General features: G+C 39.7%; 1 protein-coding gene across 6 annotated transcripts in view, besides 2 other annotated features; it reads right to left on the minus strand.

The window, feature by feature from the left end:
• The window catches only part of MAGI1 (membrane associated guanylate kinase, WW and PDZ domain containing 1), a 685,393-nt gene that overhangs the window by 142,618 nt on the left and 522,281 nt on the right, over positions 1–20,494 (minus strand). The gene's annotated exons all lie outside the window — the stretch shown is intronic.
• Positions 12,689–13,384: an enhancer, noted in NCBI's record as "NANOG-H3K27ac-H3K4me1 hESC enhancer chr3:65494507-65495202 (GRCh37/hg19 assembly coordinates)". NCBI's record gives its function as "activates a minimal SCP1, AML or CMV promoter by ChIP-STARR-seq in naive H9 embryonic stem cells {active_cell/tissue: H9 hESC(naive)}" and the evidence as "EXISTENCE:reporter gene assay evidence [ECO:0000049][PMID:30033119]".
• Positions 13,385–14,080: an enhancer, noted in NCBI's record as "NANOG-H3K27ac-H3K4me1 hESC enhancer chr3:65495203-65495898 (GRCh37/hg19 assembly coordinates)". NCBI's record gives its function as "activates a minimal SCP1, AML or CMV promoter by ChIP-STARR-seq in primed H9 embryonic stem cells {active_cell/tissue: H9 hESC(primed)}" and the evidence as "EXISTENCE:reporter gene assay evidence [ECO:0000049][PMID:30033119]".

Here is a 20,494-nt window from a genome sequence, read left to right on the forward strand (position 1 = left end):
AGATCCTCTCACCTCAGCCTCCTGAGTAGTTAGGACTACAGGCACGTGCCACCACACCCAGCTAATTTTTTTTTTTTTGTACAAATGGGGGGTCTCACTATATTGCCCAGGCTGGTCTCTAACTCCTGGCTTCAAGCAGTCCTCCTACCTTGGCCTCCAAATTACTTGGATTACAGGCATAAGCCACCACACTCAGCTTGGTTTTCCTTTTTAAAGCTCTTTGACTTCAAGGAGAACAAGTTTTCGGAGAGTAGGGCAGGAGGTGGGCAAGAATAGAAGCAGGGGGACCAGTTGGGTGGTTACCATAGTGTCCAGGTGAATGGTAATCAAGATATGGACTAGAATAGGACAGAAGTGATAAGAAGCAGTGAGATTTCTATTACAAACATGAGTATTTTAAAGAGCTACAGCATAGTCCATAGAACAGACATATTAAAAGTAAAACCCATCATCAAGGTATTAAGCGCCACATGCATTAGCTATTTATCCTGATGCTCTCCATGCCACCCACCAATGGAGGACAGAGAGCATCAGGGGGATGGAGATGCACCAGGATAAATAGCTAATGCATGTGGGGCTTAATACAAAGATCAGGTGCAGCAAACCACCATGGCACATGTTTACCTATGTAACAAACCTGCATGTCATAGGTAAGTATCCTAGCACTTAAAATAAAAATAAATTTTAAAAAGTATGTCAGCTCATCACACCATGCTAGGTCTATATTTTGAAGACAGAACTAATAGAACTTGCTGATGGATTGGATGTTGTATGTAAGAAAGACAGAATAAAGACAGAAATACCTATTTTGTGACCTGGGCAAATGGGCTGTGCCATTTGCAGAGATTGAGAAGGCTGAGGGGAAAGGTTTTGGGAAAAGGGAAAATCAAAAGTTCACTTTTGGACATGTTAGGTTTGAAATGCCTAACAGACACCTACGAGCAGAGAGTTGGAGCACAGCTGACCTTAAAAGTCTGAAGGTCAGAGTAGAGGGTGGAATGTAAACTTAATAATAATATTAAGAGTGATCAGTTGATTAGTAAACCAATGGCATTTGAAGGCAAGAGACAGAAAGATAAAATCTACAGAGAGAGTTTAGGGGAAAAAAAGCCAAGAAGTTTGGATTGAACACTAAGAACTTTTAACTTTTCGAAGATGAGAATAAGAGAAAGATCGTCAAAGGAGACTAAGCAGCAGTAGCCAGCAAGATAGGAGCAAAGGAGGAGGGTGTGATGTCTTGGAGCCAAGTGAAAAAGCTGTTCAGCCAGCTACCTCTAAAACACAAACAGTCTACATCACACTGGGAATTCCAGTGCAGTGCAAGAATAGAATCTCTTTGAAACTTGCTGTGAAAGGATCTGTCCTAAATATGTTCTATATGGCAACTCTCATCTTCAGCCTCCATACCAAAGTTCCATTAACTTAATCCATCTTGAAAAAAAATGAGGACAAAATAAAACAAAACAAAAAATCTGTTGAGTTTCATAGTCTTGCCAAACTAGACAATGTTGATTTTTTTCTCCTGCAGCCATCTTTGCCATTCTTTCAATGATGTTTTCAGATCCAATTTGTCAGGTTTACCTTAAAGACAACAATCACCCTGGGGTCTTAATTTCCTGAGAGGATTCAAAATAATCAAGAACGTCAAAAATGCTACATTTCAGCAGAAACATGAAACTAGCAGATCCCATTTTTCCATGTAAATAAATATGCTTAGGATGCCTTAGAGCAGCATGGGAAGGGAGTGGGAAGGCGGGCAAGTCTCCACCCACAAAACGTTCAGGGTTTATTACCCAGACAAAACCTTTCCATGCTCAGGCTAGCAGGAGGTTTCCCAGCTATCCTCTGAGCAGCCCGCCCTGGGTCTGGGCCAACCTGACCAGGCTCTATTCACCGATGTTGTGGAGAAAAGGACCGAGGGAGGGGACCCCGCCTTCTCTTTTCTTGTAGCAGAATGGCAGGCTGCTGGCTGGACACACGCCTGGCAGATGGCATTTCAAAGGGTTTTCAGGAGCCATCTGGGTTGGGTACAATTATTATAAACCATGCTTCTAACAAAGCCAGAAGGGTTACTTCCTGACAGAAGACGAGTCAAACAAATTCTACCATGTTTCTCAGGGACAGCGTACTAATATAAAAAAAAAGAAAAAAAAAAGCGACCAGGCTGACAAACTGGGATTTTCCTTAGCCTACAATACTGCCTTCTCTTTTTCTAGCTAGAAATTGGGCCAACGATATCTTGCAGTTATTAGCTTTAAGCTAATAATAAGCACAGCGTCCAACCCCCCAAAAAAGAAAAAAAAATATATAACGCTGGGAAAAAAATAATAGCTTCCATTTCTCAGATGTTCACTTATGTCCCAAGCAAGCTGTTAAGCACTTAATCAATACTATTATTGTATATAATCTTCACAAGAAACACAGAAGTAAGGATTATTATTACCCTCATTTTATTGATGAAGAAGCTCAGACTCAGAGAAGTAACCTGCCCAAGGTCACATAACAAGTTGGGCAGAGCCATGGTCTGTCTGAACACAGGCAATGTGACAGCAGCATCCCTCATCCTTAACCATCACTGTCTGATGGAACCTGTCCTTCATGGAAATGTTCCATATCTGTGCTGTCTATCCTGGTAGCCCCTAGCCACATGTAGCTATTAAAAAGTGGCCAGTGTGATTAGGAAACTGAATGTGAACTTTTATTTAATCTTAATAACTTTAAGTTTGAATAGCCACATGTGGCTAGTGGCTACTGGCCTGGTCAGTACAGCTCTCAACCATGAGAATATCTGAGTTGCCTTCATTACACTACATCCAGTACCATGTCCCAAACAACTTCTAGCACTCAAAATAAGAACAAGAAACATACTTACCTGAAACAGCATGACATCTCAAACAGATAGAAGAAAACCGCTCTTAAAAAAAAAAAAACAAAAAACTCTCATATGCTTTGAAAAACTATCTAGTCAACTCCACGATTTGTTTTAAAAATTCCATTGATTCCTATTGGCTGTGGTCTCTAGGAAAAAAAAAATGTTCTTAGATATTTGTGACAGCATGGTTTGTAGCAAACAAAACAAAAAAGACCAAAACAAAAGCAGCCCTCCAAGACACAGAAAAAATGAGTGTCCACGAATATGGAAATGATTGAATGAAATATGGTTGATCCACCCTTGGGAAAATGTTTTAGCTATGTAATGGTAAATGGTAAAGAATGGTTAAATTGGCCAGGTGCAGTGGCTCATGCCTGTAATCCCAACACTTTGGGAGGCCGAGGTGGCCAGATCACGAGGTCAGGAGATCGAGATCATCCTGGCTAACACGGTGAAACCCCATCTCTACTAAAAATACAAAAAATTAGCCAGGCATGGTGGCAGGTAACTGTAGTCCTAGTTACTTGGGAGGCTGAGGCAGAGGTTGCAGTGAGCTGAGATTGCGCCACTGCACTCCAGCCTGGGCGACAGACTGAGACTCCGTCTCAAAAAAAAAAAAGAATGGTTAAATCTACATGCAGTTACCTGAAGGAATGCCTTTAATGTGCACTGAAGTGATATAAACAAATTACAGATTAAGATGTAAACTATCACTGCATTTCATTGAAAAACAGAATATGGCTTGTTTTACAAGTTTATGAGTTTTATGAGTTCACATAGTTAAATGGGTATAATAATACTATACCCTTAACAGTGGTAACCTCAGGAGGGTAGCTTCAGAAATGGGAAGAGATGAAATGATTGTTTAAACAACTCTCATGCTCCAAATGGTATCAATAGGCAGGTAACTGTCTTGGCATTTTATAAACTGAATGAAATCATTATTTAAGAAATATTTTAAGACCTGATTCTTGGATATTTTATTCAAGTACTTTCAAAAGTAACTTAGTCCTCACAAAAAAACATGCAAACGACTTATAGACTCCAGCTGAATCACACAAACAATGTTTCAAGGTTTCCCATCTCATAGAAAGCCAGCCTCAAGGTCAACAATACTTTACTTGCCTTACCGATGAATAGGAATATACTACAAGTAGATTTGAGAAAGTGGTACTATTTTTTCCACTTGATTTTATTTTTAAACCCCAAACTGCTCATCACTTAAACAGGGTCCTTTTTAAGTATTTAAGTACCTCCAAGATTTGTACTAGAATAGTGAATATCAACCCTTCCCACCACTAGATAATAACTTAAGTAATTAATTTGAGCTGTGTCCTAGTGAGTGTCTCAGAAAGAATTAGCAATGCCCCCAAACTTCATCCAGTAAAGCTTGAGTGGCTATCTGCTTCTTACACACATTTTATGGTTCATAAACTTGCAGTGTATCTGGCTTCAGAGACTCCTGCTGAGGAAATGAGAAAGTGACCTTCCTTATCACTGAAATCCACAAACCATGACTACAAAAAGGAAACTGGACTGGGAACTTATCTGCGCTATCTTTTTATTCTAGACATTCTCTTGAAATATCCAGTTGAGGCAGAAAAAGAAAAATCCTACTGGTGAAATTCTGATAAGCCATTTCCCACTGCTTCACCTTCCCAACGCCATGCGGTTTCAAGATGTTGAGATCTCACTCAACAACTGTCCAAATGGTCTTATGGCCAGACTGTTAAAGGAAAATAATCAGCCCACAAAGATTACATTGTCAATATTCCATGATATCACCTGCTGTTAAATTAATCAGGGTCCTGCTTGTCAAAATCTAACAAGACTTCAAAAAATGACAGTCACTGCAACTGCTTACGTGTTAAGAACAGATCATCATTTTCCTATTCTAACACAATCATTTGCATCTGATAAATATCCAGAGTATCAGTTGGATATCCAGGACAGCCTCATGCAGTTCATTCTTTAGCTGATAGAGCTAGAGCACAGTAGAATGTATTAGTCCTCCAAATTCACTCAGTTACCTACCTCTCACACAATTTTTGCCATATATGACAATCAGCACTACAATTTACTTGATATCTATCCCTCAAATCAAACTGCCTTTTGTGGTGAAACAGACATCTTATTTAATATGAAAAACCCCTTCTGAAACTGCTTTTAAAAAAAATTAAACAGGCCAGGTGCGGTGGCACATATCTATAATCCCAGCACTTTGGGAGGCCGAAGTGGATGGATCATGAGGTCAGGAGTTCAAGACCAGTCTGGCCAAGATGGTGAAACCCCATTTCTACTAAAAATAGAAAAATTAGTGGTGGCAGGCACCTGTATTCTCAGCTACTTGGGAGGCTGAGGCAGAGAACTGCTTGAACCCGGGAGCTGAGATCGTGCCACTGCACTCCAGTGTGGGCAACATAGCGAGACTCTGTCTCAAAAAAAAAAAAAAAAAAAAAATTTAAACATATTTGGGTAAAAAGTAAATACTTAGCCACCACAAACCTATTAGAATGGTTTAAAAATGTTTCTGTAATACCAAATGCTGGCAAAAATATGGAGCAACTAGTACTCACATGCCTTATTGGGAAGAATACAAAATGGTACAACCATTTGGGGAAAGAGTTTGGCAGTTAGTTAAAAAGTTAAACATAAATTTCTCATATGACCTAACAATCCCACTCCTAAATGTTTACCCCAGAGAAATGAAAACATATTCACACAAAACCCCATACAGAAATGTTTAGAAGAGCTTTATGCATAATCAACCAAAACTTTATGAAAACAACCAAATGTGGTTCAATTGGTGAATGAATTCACTGTGGCACATCCCTACAAAGAACTACTGCTCAGCAAAACTACAGATACACACAGCATGGACGAGTCTCACATACATTATGCTCAGGGAAAGAGAAGCCAGACTCAAAGATTACACACTGTATGATTACTCCATTTATATTCTATATATTCTATAGAGATGGAGAATCAAGCAGTGGTTACCAGCTATGTAGGGTGGGAGCAGCACAGGTAATTAGGGAAAGGAGGAGGACACTGTTTTGTTTCTTGCCTGCGGTGGTGGTTGCACGACTGTGCTTTGGTCAAAACCCATAGCGCACACCACGAATGGTGATTTTTACTGTGTATAATTTTTTAAAAAAGGAAACATTTAGCTTTACCTCAAATGGAAAATCAGCTTCATCCTGCCATAAACAGTAAGTAACTAAAAATAAATGCCACAAAAATAAAGCCATTTTGTTTTATCTGTAGCCTAAGGCTCTGAGCCCGAGGTCTGAATTATCCTATTATCACAAAAGGGGATTGACAAACATTAGAAATATCTTAGATACCTATTAATGTCAATTTGAGACTTTCTGCTTAGCATAAGGATTTGTCTTCGTTAGTTTGGACTGTTATAACAGAATACCATGAACTGGGTGGCTTAAACAATAAGCATTGTTGAGACAGGCATTTTGACACACACCTGGAGTCCCAGCTACAAGGGAAGCTGAAGTGGGAGGATTGCTTGAACCCAGTAGTTCAAATCCAGCCTGGGTAACATAACAAGAACTGTCTGGTGAGAGGACCCTCTTCTTGATTTTCAGACAGCTGCCTTTTTGCTGTATCTTCACATGGCAGGAAATGAAAGCCCTTCCCCTTTTTACATGGGGCATTAATTCCATCACGAGAATCTGACCTTTGGTTAATTAACTCCTAAAGGCTCCTCCTCCAAATACCATTACATTAGGAATTAGGGACCCAAAGGTGAGAGAGGGAGACAGAAGGGTGCGTTGAAGCAGAAACAATTCCAATGTGAAAAGAAAAGGTGTGTGGGTAAGGTGGTCATGGTGCCAAGGAAAGGGCTGAAAGAAAATCTATGGCTCATACTACTTTGGAGGGTGGGAGTGGTTAGAAAACGAACAGTGGAGAGAGGGGGTAAAAATCCATGATACAGGTAATCCCAGATGAGACAGCTATGTAGACTCAAAAGGGTCACGTGAATAAATGTGACTCAAATTGTTAGTGTCACTAAGCAACACACACACACATACACTGCCCCCTCCCCACTCCCAGGTGTGCTGTACCTCCAGCAGAACAAAGTTGAAAAGGTAAGATCCTTGTCTTCTGAGAACTTGGAATCAGTTTGGGTCTGTGTCTAATCAGAATTGATGCCTCATTGTAAATGAGAAAGCAGCTAAAAGAGACTTGACTGATTGTCATCCCTATAACACATTATAAAATAAACACGAATAAAGAAGGCCAGCCTCCTCCTCAGGAATCAGGGGAAGTTGTTGAGTTATTTAACACTTTATATGTGGTAATCTACAAATCACTTCACAAGGAAGCAAGGCCACTCAGGGCAACATAAATGGATCCTTTCTAGAAGCACCATTTTGAATAATGGGGCATTCTCTGTCCAAAACTCTCAACTATGATAACAAAGGTCAGAAACAGGACCCTTATTTTTTCTATCCCAGATCTCAACACAGTAGTGTCAGTAATTGTGTCTCATAAATGGAATAATGCCAAGCCATTCAACAGCAGGTGTGTAAAGACAATTATTTTATTCCAGCTATAACTTGCATGTTTGGGATCAGCAGACCATTTCAGGTTCCATCTTGCATGGAAGAACACTGTGTGATGAAGGTATTGGAATCTCGTTTTAAAAACCACACCTACAATACTTGAAATAAATAAGGACTTGGCATTTATTCCATTGTACTGATGATTTGCAAAAGTGGCCTAGACATGAGAGATGGGAAGCATCTGATCTGGTTTTCATGATCCTACTTCTAGCTCTTTTCTCTATAGCTATGACATGGGATGAAGGAAAAGAAGAAGTTTTGAGTGCCAAATCCAAGTAGCTCCAAAGGAACTATTCAAACCGTCCATGTATCCTTTTCCTGGAAGCCAGGTGCTCTCAGTTAAGTGTAAACATGTTACCTTTCAAGGAGATCCACATTATGTCAAAGAAAAATGTGAACCTTCCAGATTGTTGAATGAATCATATAATACAAAAAGAGAGTATATGTTTGTCTAGGGCAAGCAAATGGTTCCCAGTAATAAACAAAAACAGCAGCTCAAGGAGCTGATGTAAGAAGAACCAGTCTTGATCCAGCTCTGCCACTAAATTAATTATGTGACTACCTTGGAACATTCCCTTTTATGCACTCAATGTCCTTATCTGTAAAACAAAAAGGGTAACTACTGCTCTGACTATATCACAGAATGATTGTGAGACCAAATACATTCATGTGCAAGGATACAAACCCCTCAGCAAATTAAAGGCATTAGAAAATTATGTTCATTTAAAAAATCTGTATTTAGGCCAACGTCTATTCTTTATATGCATTATCTCATTTAATCCTTGCAACAACACTATAAAGTAGTTAATATTATTATCCTATGTCACAGATGAGAAAACATGCACACATTATGTGACTTGCCAAGAATTACACAGCTGGTAAGTGTCAGGACCAGGACTTGAAACCAGGTTTTTGTTACTAGGTGGGAACTTCTGTACACAAAGAAGACATTGGGGAGGGGTGGGAGGATAAACTAGTGGAGGAGCGAGGTGCAGCTGAATTTCCACAGCTCTTCACCCAGGGTTGAATAAATCAACACTGTCTTCATCCAGGAAACATAGCAGGGAGCTGATGGAGTTGACGGTCTGGGAGAAGAAAGCTGGTAAAACCCTTCCCCACAACCTCTTTGATCCCAAACCTAAACTGTCAGGAACTATGTCTTACTGCCTCTTAACCAGAATACTGAGGAGGACCAGAAAACATTCCACAGGAAAGTCAACCTGAACATGAACATTAACCATTTTTCCTCATTTTTCAGGGAAGGGAACTTTGGCACATACAAACTCATGGAAACCTCGCATTCATTAAAGTCAGGAACATGAGAGTTCTCAGGTTGTAACTGATTCATTTCAAACAGTATTAAAAAGCATCCAGGAAATAAAGGATAAGAATCTTCAGCATTAGATACACATTTATCAGAAATCAACTTTTGAGGATTATCCTTGAAGGCATTTTTGTTCCAAGAGGGATTCAGGAAACCAGTAACGCTATACCCTAGCGCTAAAAGTTGTCTATGAGAAAAGGGGATGAGAGCAGATAGACTCTCTCCATTATGGCAGGTAATAATACTTTCACTTTCTCTGATTAATTATAGCAATTGTTTGTGTAAAATGGAATGAACTACTTCCAACAATTTCAACCAGATAATTTTCAAAAGCATATTAAAAGAAAATAATTATTTTGGTGAAAAGCTGTGATTAATTAAGAATATCAAGTTTCCACAAATTAGGTGACTTTGCATGGTTAATGCTAAATACTGAATGTTTCTAATATTCGGCAGCTTTCTTGCTTAGTTAAAAAAAAAAAAAAAATAACTGGGGCCAGGCATGGTAGCTCACGAGTTCAAGACCAGCCTATGCAAATAGTGAAACCTTGTCTCTAAAAAAATTTTTTTAAATTAGCCAGATATAGTGGCACGTGCCTGTAGTCCCAGAAACTCGGGAGGCTGAAGTGGGAGGACCACTTAAGACCAGCAGAGGTTGAGACAGCAGTGAGCCATGATCGTGCCACTGCACTCCAGCCTGGGCGACAAAGTCTAAAATAATAATAATAATAATAATAATAATAATAGGGAATGACTGCTAATAGCTACATGGTTTCTTTGGGGAATAATGAACATTATTTAAAATTACATCGTTTCAATGGTTGCACAGTTCTGTGCATATAATGAAAACTAAAGAATTATATACTTTAAAGGAGTGAATATTATTATGTATAAATTGTGTATCAATAAAGTTGTTAAAAAAACTCTTACACTGCAGAGATGTAAAGATGGGCAAAACATGATCACTGTTCTCATGAATATTATAATTTAGCTGAGGCATTGTTACATTTCCATAAATAATAATAAATAGTATAATTTACTCTTCATCAATTTAACAGCTGCTTTCATTAGTCCTCCCAATATGGGAACTTAAAGAGTGAAATCAGCAATCACTGACCATGTTATGTCGTTTTCCTAAAAATTGCAGGGATCTAAAGCTCTTTCAGAATGGCAGTCCAGAGAAACTGTTAAAAAATCTACAACCAGATTTGGTGAGTTCAAATCTCAGCTCTGGTATTTGCAAACTGTGCAACCATAGACAAGGTAAACATTTTGGGTCTTGGTTTCCTCATCTCTAAAATGGGAATAATAATAATGCATGCCTCATAAGACTGTGTGAGGATTACATGAGATAACACAAGTAAAATGCTTAACCTGGTCATAATATGCATTAACCATGACAACAACAGTATCTGCCCACGCCCGCCCCCAACAACATACTCTGTGCTTCTAAAGGGAAATGGTTATGGAAGAAGGAAGACTATGGATCACTTACTATATCTCTAACAAAGAGCACAGGTTTTCTATACATAATGCCTAATTTAATTCTTCCAAGAGGGGTATATTTTTCCAACCTTGATGAAATTTTCCATCCCTAATCACCATTTTTCAAAGTCACACAAGAATCTATATAGCTCCTAACCACAACTTTTTGGATTATCTTTCAATAAGAAATCACAAAGTCAACACATTCTATAAATACCCTCATTCTAGTCATTAGCCACTAGCACGGATCCATAAGAAAATGCCTACTTATTGAAATATAATGTCTAAATTTGAGGATCTCAATTGCCCTAATTCCATGTTAACCATGTTATTCTTCACATAATCAAAGCCTTCTATAATTAAATGAATGTGATATTTATTGAGCAAATATTATATAACTAGATATAAAACGAGAAATAAATTTGTATCAAGGACTAAAACAAAGCAATTACAATAGCAATTCAAAACAGATAAAAGAAAAAAGGAGTTTATGCCCATTTAACAAATACATTCGTTCTCAGTTGACATAGGCATGATAGTTCTGAAGCCTTCTCAAGTATACAGCGAAATAGTCACGAACATGTAAATTTTATTTTCACTCCCATCAAGTATACATATGGCTACATCAAAGTAAACAAGAGGAAATACCACAGAGTGCAACATATAACTTCTTGAAAAAATAAAGAAGAATTGGGTACAATACTAAGCCTACACCAAAGAAAGGTACACTATAGTACTACCTGTGCATGGTCTTCATAGTATTGAAGAAAACTTACTGGGGCAGTAAAATTTCTAGCCACACAGCAGTATCATGTTGAAGCAGGTCTACAGAGTAAGTAGCATAAAACTGAACATATCTTTCCATTTGTTAACACATGCTTTTTTCCCTCATATTTATAGTGGTATTTACCTTGAAGGGGTTTTAGATTTGGCATCAAAAACTCAAACATTCAAAAAGTGTCTCATGAGCAAAGGCTGAGAAACATGAGCATTTAAATATCACATAAAATTGTATGAGGATTACATGAGACAACACATGTGTTAGCCTGGTCATAATATGGGTTCTCAGGCAGCTGATTTCACTCTTGGGACTCTGGTGTTGTTCGTAACATGCTTATGTTTTCCCCCATAAATAATGACATCAGCAGATTCCTAGAAAACTAAACTACAGCTTTGATTCCCAGCCCCTTCCATTACCTTATCTAATGTTTGCCAACGATCTCTATAACTATAAATCACAATCCAAAAATATATGGACTTGGAGCAACGGCAAAATCATTTAGACCCAGCTGATTAACTGTTATTGCCCTCATTTCAATTAGTTCATGTTTCAGTGAGCAATTACATTCTCACATTATGTGGTACTTCTCTGGCTACAACTATAGCTCATTTTATGTTATGGACTATATAGTTTCTAGATAGATGAGTCATAGAAATTATTTTTTTTCAGTCTCATTGTTAAGCCAAATTAGGTAGCTTTTAGAGGTGATTTTTTTTTTAACAACAGCAACATAAAAAACCCAATTACTAATGCTTCTAAACATTTGCTTGGAAAATGCAGACAGTGAGGAACAGAAGCCTGTGCTGATGTGATAAACCCAAGTTCTGGTCTTTACCCACACTGACTTTAAAAATAACTATCTCATTAGAATACTATATGAGGTATCAACGGTATTATCAGAAAAGTAGTGGCCAATTTTTAAAAAATAAAATCGGCCGGGCGCGGTGGCTCACGCCTGTAATCCCAGCACTTTGGGAGGCCGAGGCGGGCAGATCACAAGGTCAGGAGATCAACACCATCCTGGCTAACACGGTGAAACCCCGTCTCTACTAAAAATACGAAAAAGTTAGCCGGGCGTGGCAGTGGGCGCCTGTAGTCCCAGCTAGTCCAGAGGCTGAGGCAGGAGAATGGCGTGAACCTGGGAGGCGGAGCTTGCAGTGAGCCGAGATTGCGCCACTGCACTCCTGCCTGGGTGACAGAGTGAGACTCTGTCTCAAAAAAAAATAAAAATAAAAATAAATAAAATCAAGTAGCTTTTATTATTATAAGTTACTTTGAATTATTATGTTATATAAAGACAATAGTCTTTAAATAGAATCTAATAGAAATTGGGCCTTTTCAAACAAGCCTTCCTTATTTCAGAGATGTCAGGTGAGTGCTTTGCCTTCTAAGACAGTCACATTACTTTAAGCCTATAGGATTCTCATTAATCCAAGAATGCAGATTATGCCTTTGTCATCTATTCAAACTGGACCCAATGTGAGTCCAGATACAATCCAGTCAATGAATCTGTATTAGAGATAATTTTCATTAAAAGGAAATGGATACCTTTGTTGTGACATATAAATAACAAAAGAAAAAACTGGGGAGTTTTGTTTTTGTTGTGTTTTGTTTCATGTGTATTAAGTGAGTGTCATTATCACACAATGCTTACTGGTTCTCACTCTTGGGTTCCATCTGATTTGTCATCCCTGTCAACAGCAACTGCTGATCAAGGGCAAAGAGAGGGCAGAGGCAATCTTTATTTCCTCCATTTGGCAGCAGGGTAAGACTGCCATTAGCTTCCTGTGAGCCAGGGAAGACCTGGTGATACGATGCATGATCCTGGAGCTCTTACAAGAAGTTTTCACCAGATACTTGCCTCTTAACCTATTTATCTAGCAGTTAGGCTCTCATTTTCTGGGAAACCCACATTTTTGCCCAGAGGGAAGCAAAGAGTCAAAGTGTTTAATTGAAGCTATTGCCTTGGCCTCCAATGGGTTGTTTCAAAACAAAACAATCAAAATAAACAAACAAAACACAGGTATTTAAATGAAGCAGTAGGGAAATCCAGAGAGCTCCTAATCTCAACACATAACATATGTTACATTTGGGTTTTGTTTTTGGGGAGGAGCCAAGATGGCCGAATAGGAACAGCTCCGGTCTACAGCTCCCAGCGTGAGCGACGCAGAAGACGGGTGATTTCTGCGTTTCCATCTGAGGTACCGGGTTTATCTCACTAGGGAGTGCCAGACAGTGGGCGCAGGTCAGTGGGTGCGCGTACCGTGCGCAAGCCGAAGCAGGGTGAGGCACTGCCTCACTTGGGAAGCGCAAGGGGCCAGGGAGTTCCCTTTCCGACTCAAAGAAAGGGGTGACGGACGCACCTGGAAAATCGGGTCACTCCCACCCGAATATTTCGCTTTTCAGACCGGCTTAAAAAAGGCGAACCACGAGATTATATCCCACACCTGGCTCAGAGGGTCCTACGCCCACGGAATCTCGCTGATTGCTAGCACAGCAGTCTGAGATCAAACTGCAAGGCGGCAACGAGGCTGGGGGAGGGGCGCCCGCCATTGCCCAGGCTTGCTTAGGTAAACAAAGCAGCTGGGAAGCTCGAACTGGGTGGAGCCCACCACAGCTCAAGGAGGCCTGCCTGCCTCTGTAGGCTCCACCTCTGGGGGCAGGGCACAGACAAACAAAAAGACAGCAGTAACCTCTGCAGACTTAAGTGTCCCTGTCTGACAGCTTTGAAGAGAGGAGTGGTTCTCCCAGCACGCAGAAGGAGATCTGAGAACCGGCAGACTGCCTCCTCAAGTGGGTCCCTGACCCCTGACCCCCGAGCACCCTAACTGGGAGGCAGCCCCCAGCAGGGGCACACTGACACCTCACACTGCAGGGTATTCCAACAGACCTGCAGCTGAGGGTCCTGTCTGTTAGAAGGAAAACTAACAAACAGAAAGGACACCCACACCAAAAACCCATCTGTACATCACCATCATCAAAGAGCAAAAGTAGATAAAACCACAAAGATGGGGAAAAAACAGAACAGAAAAACTGGAAACTGTAAAACGCAGAGCGCCTCTCCTCCTCCAAAGGAACGCAGTTCCTCACCAGCAACGGAACAAAGCTGGATGGAGAATGACTTTGATGAGCTGAGAGAAGAAGGCTTCAGACGATCAAATTACTCTGAGCTACGGGGGGACATTCAAACCAAAGGCAAAGAAGTTGAAAACTTTGAAAAAAATTTAGAAGAATGTATAACTAGAATAACCAATACAGAGAAGTGCTTAAAGGAGCTGATGGAGCTGAAAACCAAGGCTCGAGAACTACGTGAAGAATGCAGAAGCCCCAGGAGCCGATGCGATCAACTGGAAGAAAGGGTATCAGCAATGGAAGATGAAATGAATGAAATGAAGCGAGAAGGGAAGTTTAGAGAAAAAAGAATAAAAAGAAATGAGCAAAGCCTCCAAGAAATATGGGACTATGTGAAAAGACCAAATCTACGTCTGATTGGTGTACCTGAAAGTGATGGGGAGAATGGAACCAAGTTGGAAAACACTCTGCAGGATATTATCCAGGAGAACTTCCCCAATCTAGCAAGGCAGGCCAACATTCAGATTCAGGAAATACAGAGAACGCCACAAAGATACTCCTCGAGAAGAGCAACTCCAAGACACATAATTGTCAGATTCACCAAAGTTCAAATGAAGGAAAAAATGTTAAGGGCAGCCAGAGAGAAAGGTCGGGTTACCCTCAAAGGGAAGCCCATCAGACTAACAGCGGATCTCTTGGCAGAAACCCTACAAGCCAGAAGAGAGTGGGGGCCAATATTCAACATTCTTAAAGAAAAGAATTTTCAACCCAGAATTTCATATCCAGCCAAACTAAGCTTCATAAGTGAAGGAGAAATAAAATACTTCACAGACAAGCAAATGCTGAGAGATTTTGTCACCACCAGGCCTGCCCTAAAAGAGCTCCTGAAGGAAGCGCTAAACATGGAAAGGAACAACCGGTACCAGCTGCTGCAAAATCATGCCAAAATGTAAAGACCATCAAGACTAGGAAGAAACTGCATCAACTAATGAGCAAAATAACCAGCTAACATCATAATGACAGGATCAAATTCACACATAACAATATTAACTTTAAATGTAAATGGACTAAATTCTCCAATTAAAAGACACAGACTGGCAAATTGGATAAAGAGTCAAGACCCATCAGTGTGCTATATTCAGGAAACCCATCTCACGTGCAGAGACACACATAGGCTCAAAATAAAAGGATGGAGGAAGATCTACCAAGCAAATAGAAAACAAAAAAAGGCAGGGGTTGCAATCCTAGTCTCTGATAAAACAGACTTTAAACCAACAAAGATCAAAAGAGACAAAGAAGGCCATTACATAATGGTAAAGGGATCAATTCAACAAGAAGAGCTAACTATCCTAAATATATATGCACCCAATACAGGAGCACCCAGATTCATAAAGCAAGTCCTGAGTGACCTACAAAGAGACTTAGACTCCCACATATTAATAATGGGAGACTTTAACACCCCACTGTCAACATTAGACAGATCAACGACACAGAAAGTCAACAAGGATACCCAGGAATTGAACTCAGCTCTGCACCAAGTGGACCTAATAGACATCTACAGAACTCTCCACCCCAAATCAACAGAATATACATTTTTTTCAGCACCACACCACACCTATTCCAAAATTGACCACATAGTTGGAAGTAAAGCTCTCCTCAGCAAATGTAAAAGAACAGAAATTATAACAAACTATCTCCCAGACCACAGTGCAATCAAACTAGAACTCAGGATTAAGAATCTCACTCAAAGCCGCTCAACTACATGGAAACTGAACAACCTGCTCCTGAATGACTACTGGGTACATAACGAAATGAAGGCAGAAATAAAGATGTTCTTTGAAACCAACGAGAACAAAGACACAACATACCAGAATCTCTGGGACGCATTCAAAGCAGTGTGTAGAGGGAAATTTATAGCACTAAATGCCCACAAGAGAAAGCAGGAAAGATCCAAAATTGACACTCTAACATCACAATTAAAAGAACTAGAAAAGCAAGAGCAAACACATTCAAAAGCTAGCAGAAGGCAAGAAATAACTAAAATCAGAGCAGAACTGAAGGAAATAGAGACACAAAAAACCCTTCAAAAAATCAATGAATCCAGGAGCTGGTTTTTTGAAAGGATCAACAAGATTGATAGACCACTAGCAAGACTAATAAAGAAAAAAAGAGAGAAGAATCAAATAGACACAATAAAAAATGATAAAGGGGATATCACCACCGATCCCACAGAAATACAAACTACCATCAGAGAATACTACAAACACCTCTACGCAAATAAAATAGAAAATCTAGAAGAAATGGATAAATTCCTCAACACATACACTCTCCCAAGACTAAGCCAGGAAGAAGTTGAATCTCTGAATAGACCAATAACAGGAGCTGAAATTGTGGCAATAATCAATAGTTTACCAACCAAAAAGAGTCCAGGACCAGATGGATTCACAGCTGAATTCTACCAGAGGTACAAGGAGGAACTGGTACCATTCCTTCTGAAACTATTCCAATCAATAGAAAAAGAGGGAATCCTCCCTAACTCATTTTATGAGGCCAGCATCATTCTGATACCAAAGCCAGGCAGAGACACAGCCAAAAAAGAGAATTTTAGACCAATATCCTTGATGAACATTGATGAAAAAATCCTCAATAAAATACTGGCAAAACGAATCCAGCAGCACATCAAAAAGCTTATCCACCATGATCAAGTGGGCTTCATCCCTGGGATGCAAGGCTGGTTCAATATACGCAAATCAATAAATGTAATCCAGCATATAAACAGAGCCAAAGACAAAAACCACATGATTATCTCAATAGATGCAGAAAAAGCCTTTGACAAAATTCAACAACCCTTCATGCTAAAACCTCTCAATAAATTAGGTATTGATGGGACGTATTTCAAAATAATAAGAGCTATCTATGACAAACCCACAGCCAATATCATACTGAATGGGCAAAAACTGGAAGCATTCCCTTTGAAAACTGGCACAAGACAGGGATGCCCTCTCTCACCACTCCTATTCAACATAGTGTTGGAAGTTCTGGCCAGGGCAATTAGGCAGGAGAAGGAAATAAAGGGTATTCAATTAGGAAAAGAGGAAGTCAAATTGTCCCTGTTTGCAGACGACATGATTGTATATCTAGAAAACCCCATCATCTCAGCCCAAAATCTCCTTAAGCTGATAAGCAACTTCAGCAAAGTCTCAGGATACAAAATCAATGTACAAAAATCACAAGCATTCTTATACACCAACAACAGACAAACAGAGAGCCAAATCATGAGTGAACTCCCATTCACAATTGCTTCAAAGAGAATAAAATACCTAGGAATCCAACTTACAAGGGATGTGAAGGACCTCTTCAAGAAGAACTACAAACCACTGCTCAAGGAAATAAAAGAGGATACAAACAAATGGAAGAACATTCCATGCTCATGGGTAGGAAGAATCAATATCGTGAAAATGGCCATACTGCCCAAGGTAATTTACAGATTCAATGCCATCCCCATCAAGCTACCAATGACTTTCTTCACAGAATTGGAAAAAACTACTTTAAAGTTCATATGGAACCAAAAAAGAGCCCGCATCGCCAAGTCAATCCTAAGCCAAAAGAACAAAGCTGGAGGCATCACACTACCTGACTTCAAACTATACTACAAGGCTACAGTAACCAAAACAGCATGGTACTGGTACCAAAACAGAGATATAGATCACTGGAACACAACAGAGCCCTCAGAAATAATGCCGCATATCTACAACTATCTGATCTTTGACAAACCTGAGAAAAACAAGCAATGGGGAAAGGATTCCCTATTTAATAAATGGTGCTGGGAAAATTGGCTAGCCATATGTAGAAAGCTGAAACTGGATCCCTTCCTTATACCTTATACAAAAATCAATTCAAGATGGATTAAAGATTTAAACGTTAGACTTAAAACCATAAAAACCCTAGAAGAAAACCTAGGCATTACCATTCAGGACATAGGCATGGGCAAGGACTTCATGTCCAAAACACCAAAAGCAATGGCAACAAAAGACAAAATTGACAAATGGGATCTAATTAAACTAAAGAGCTTCTGCACAGCAAAAGAAACTACCATCAGAGTGAACAGGCAACCTACAAAATGGGAGAAAATTTTTGCAACCTACTCATCTGACAAAGGGCTAATATCCAGAATCTACAATGAACTCAAACAAATTTACAAGAAAAAAACAAACAACCCCATCAAAAACTGGGCGAATGACATGAACAGACACTTCTCAAAAGAAGACATTTATGCAGCCAAAAAACACATGAAAAAATGCTCATCATCACTGGCCATCAGAGAAATGCAAATCAAAACCACAATGAGATACCATCTCACACCAGTTAGAATGGCAATCATTAAAAAGTCAGGAAACAACAGGTGCTGGAGAGGATGTGGAGAAATAGGAACACTTTTACACTGTTGGTGGGACTGTAAACTAGTTCAACCATTGTGGAAATCAGTGTGGCGATTCCTCAGGGATCTAGAATTAGAAATACCATTTGACCCAGCCATCCCATTACTGGGTGTATACCCAAAGGACTATAAATCATGCTGCTATAAAGACACATGCACACGTATGTTTATTGCGGCATTATTCACAATAGCAAAGACTTGGAACCAACCCAAATGTCCAACAATGATAGACTGGATTAAGAAAATGTGGCAAATATACACCATGGAGTACTATGCAGCCATAAAAAATGATGAGTTCGTGTCCTTTATAGGGACATGGATGAAATTGGAAATCATCATTCTCAGTAAACTATCGCAAGAGCAAAAAACCAAACACCACATATTCTCACTCATAGGTGGGAATTGAACAATGAGATCACATGGACACAGGAAGGGGAATATCACACTCTAGGGACTGTGGTGGGGTGGGGGGAGGGGGGAGGGATAGCATTGGGAGATATACCTAATGCTAGATGACGAGTTAGTGGGTGCAGCACACCAGCATGGCGCATGTATACATATGTAACTAACCTGCACAATGTGCACATGTACCCTAAAACTTAAAGTATAAAAAAAAAAGTTACATTTGAAGACAGCAATTTTTTAAATTAACCACTTTATAAAATGTTGTGCAAGAATTTTTTGTTTTGTTTTACATAAGCAAAACAGAAAATGAAACATCTAAGAAAAAAAGTGGCTTTCTAAATGCTTAAATGAATACTAACTAATGTCAATGAATGACACTTACACTAAAAGCAAGCCATGGAAAATATAAAATTCACACAATAGGGCCTGATCAAATCTTTGGTAGTTGTCCCTTATTTCTCTTTTCAGATATAAAAAGTTAATGCTGTAGACAATGTAGAATCTACGAAAGAACACAAAGACAACAAGTACCCCCACCATCCAGAAATAAACCCTATCAACAGTTAAGTATCCAAAGTCTATGGCACCAACCCATGGCCCAGGATGAATTCTGGGAATCTTCAGCCAAACTCTCAGCCATCAGAATTGTCACTTGTCACTTCAGGCTTCATTGTAATCAACACCAAATCATATGGTCCAATACTTTACAGAGAAAAGGTATTGCTATTTTTTACAACCACAACAGCAAGCCTGGCACTTACATGCTTCAGGTTACACAAATGCTGAAAATGAGGGTGAGAACACATCATAAAGTTTATTGGAGAAGGCAGTACTGACTGATGCACAGTTCAAAAATCTTTACAGGGGCACAGGGAATTGAAATAGCAGAAATTATCAAAAACAATTTCTTGCCCTAGTTTTCAAGCTCTGGGTCCTTTAAAAAGTGTAATAATAAGCTGGGTGCAGTGGCACACACTGATAGTCCCAGCTACTCAAGAGGCTGAGGGTGAGAGAATTGCCTGAGCACAGAAGTTCAAGTCCAGACTGGACAACATACCAAGACCCTGTCTCCCTCTCTCTCTCTCTCTTTTTTTTGAGATGGAGTTTTGCTCTGTTGGCAGGCTGGAGTGCAGTGGTCCAATCTTGGCTCACTGCTACCTCCACCTCCTGGGTTCAAGCGATTCCCCTGCCTCAGCCTCCCAAGTAGCTGGGACTACAGGCATGTGCCACCCCACCCGGCTAATTTCTGTATTTTTAGTAGAGATAGGGTTTCACCATGTTGGCCAGGATGGTCTCGATCTCTTGACCTTGGGATCCGCCCGCCTGGCCTCCCAACGCATTGGAATTACAGGCATGAGCCACCGTGCCTGGCCGACCCTGTCTCTTTTTAAAAGTATAATAATAATAAATAGTAGCATGCACTTAACTAATAATAGAGGTCTGTTAATATCACTATCACCACAACAGAGTTATAAAGCACTTACTACATGTCAGGCACTGCAAGTACTTTGTACTCTCTTTTCCCCTAAAACCT

This window comes from Homo sapiens, chromosome 3 (genome assembly GCF_000001405.40).
Source record: "Homo sapiens chromosome 3, GRCh38.p14 Primary Assembly".
NCBI classification, from domain to species: Eukaryota; Metazoa; Chordata; class Mammalia; order Primates; family Hominidae; genus Homo; species Homo sapiens.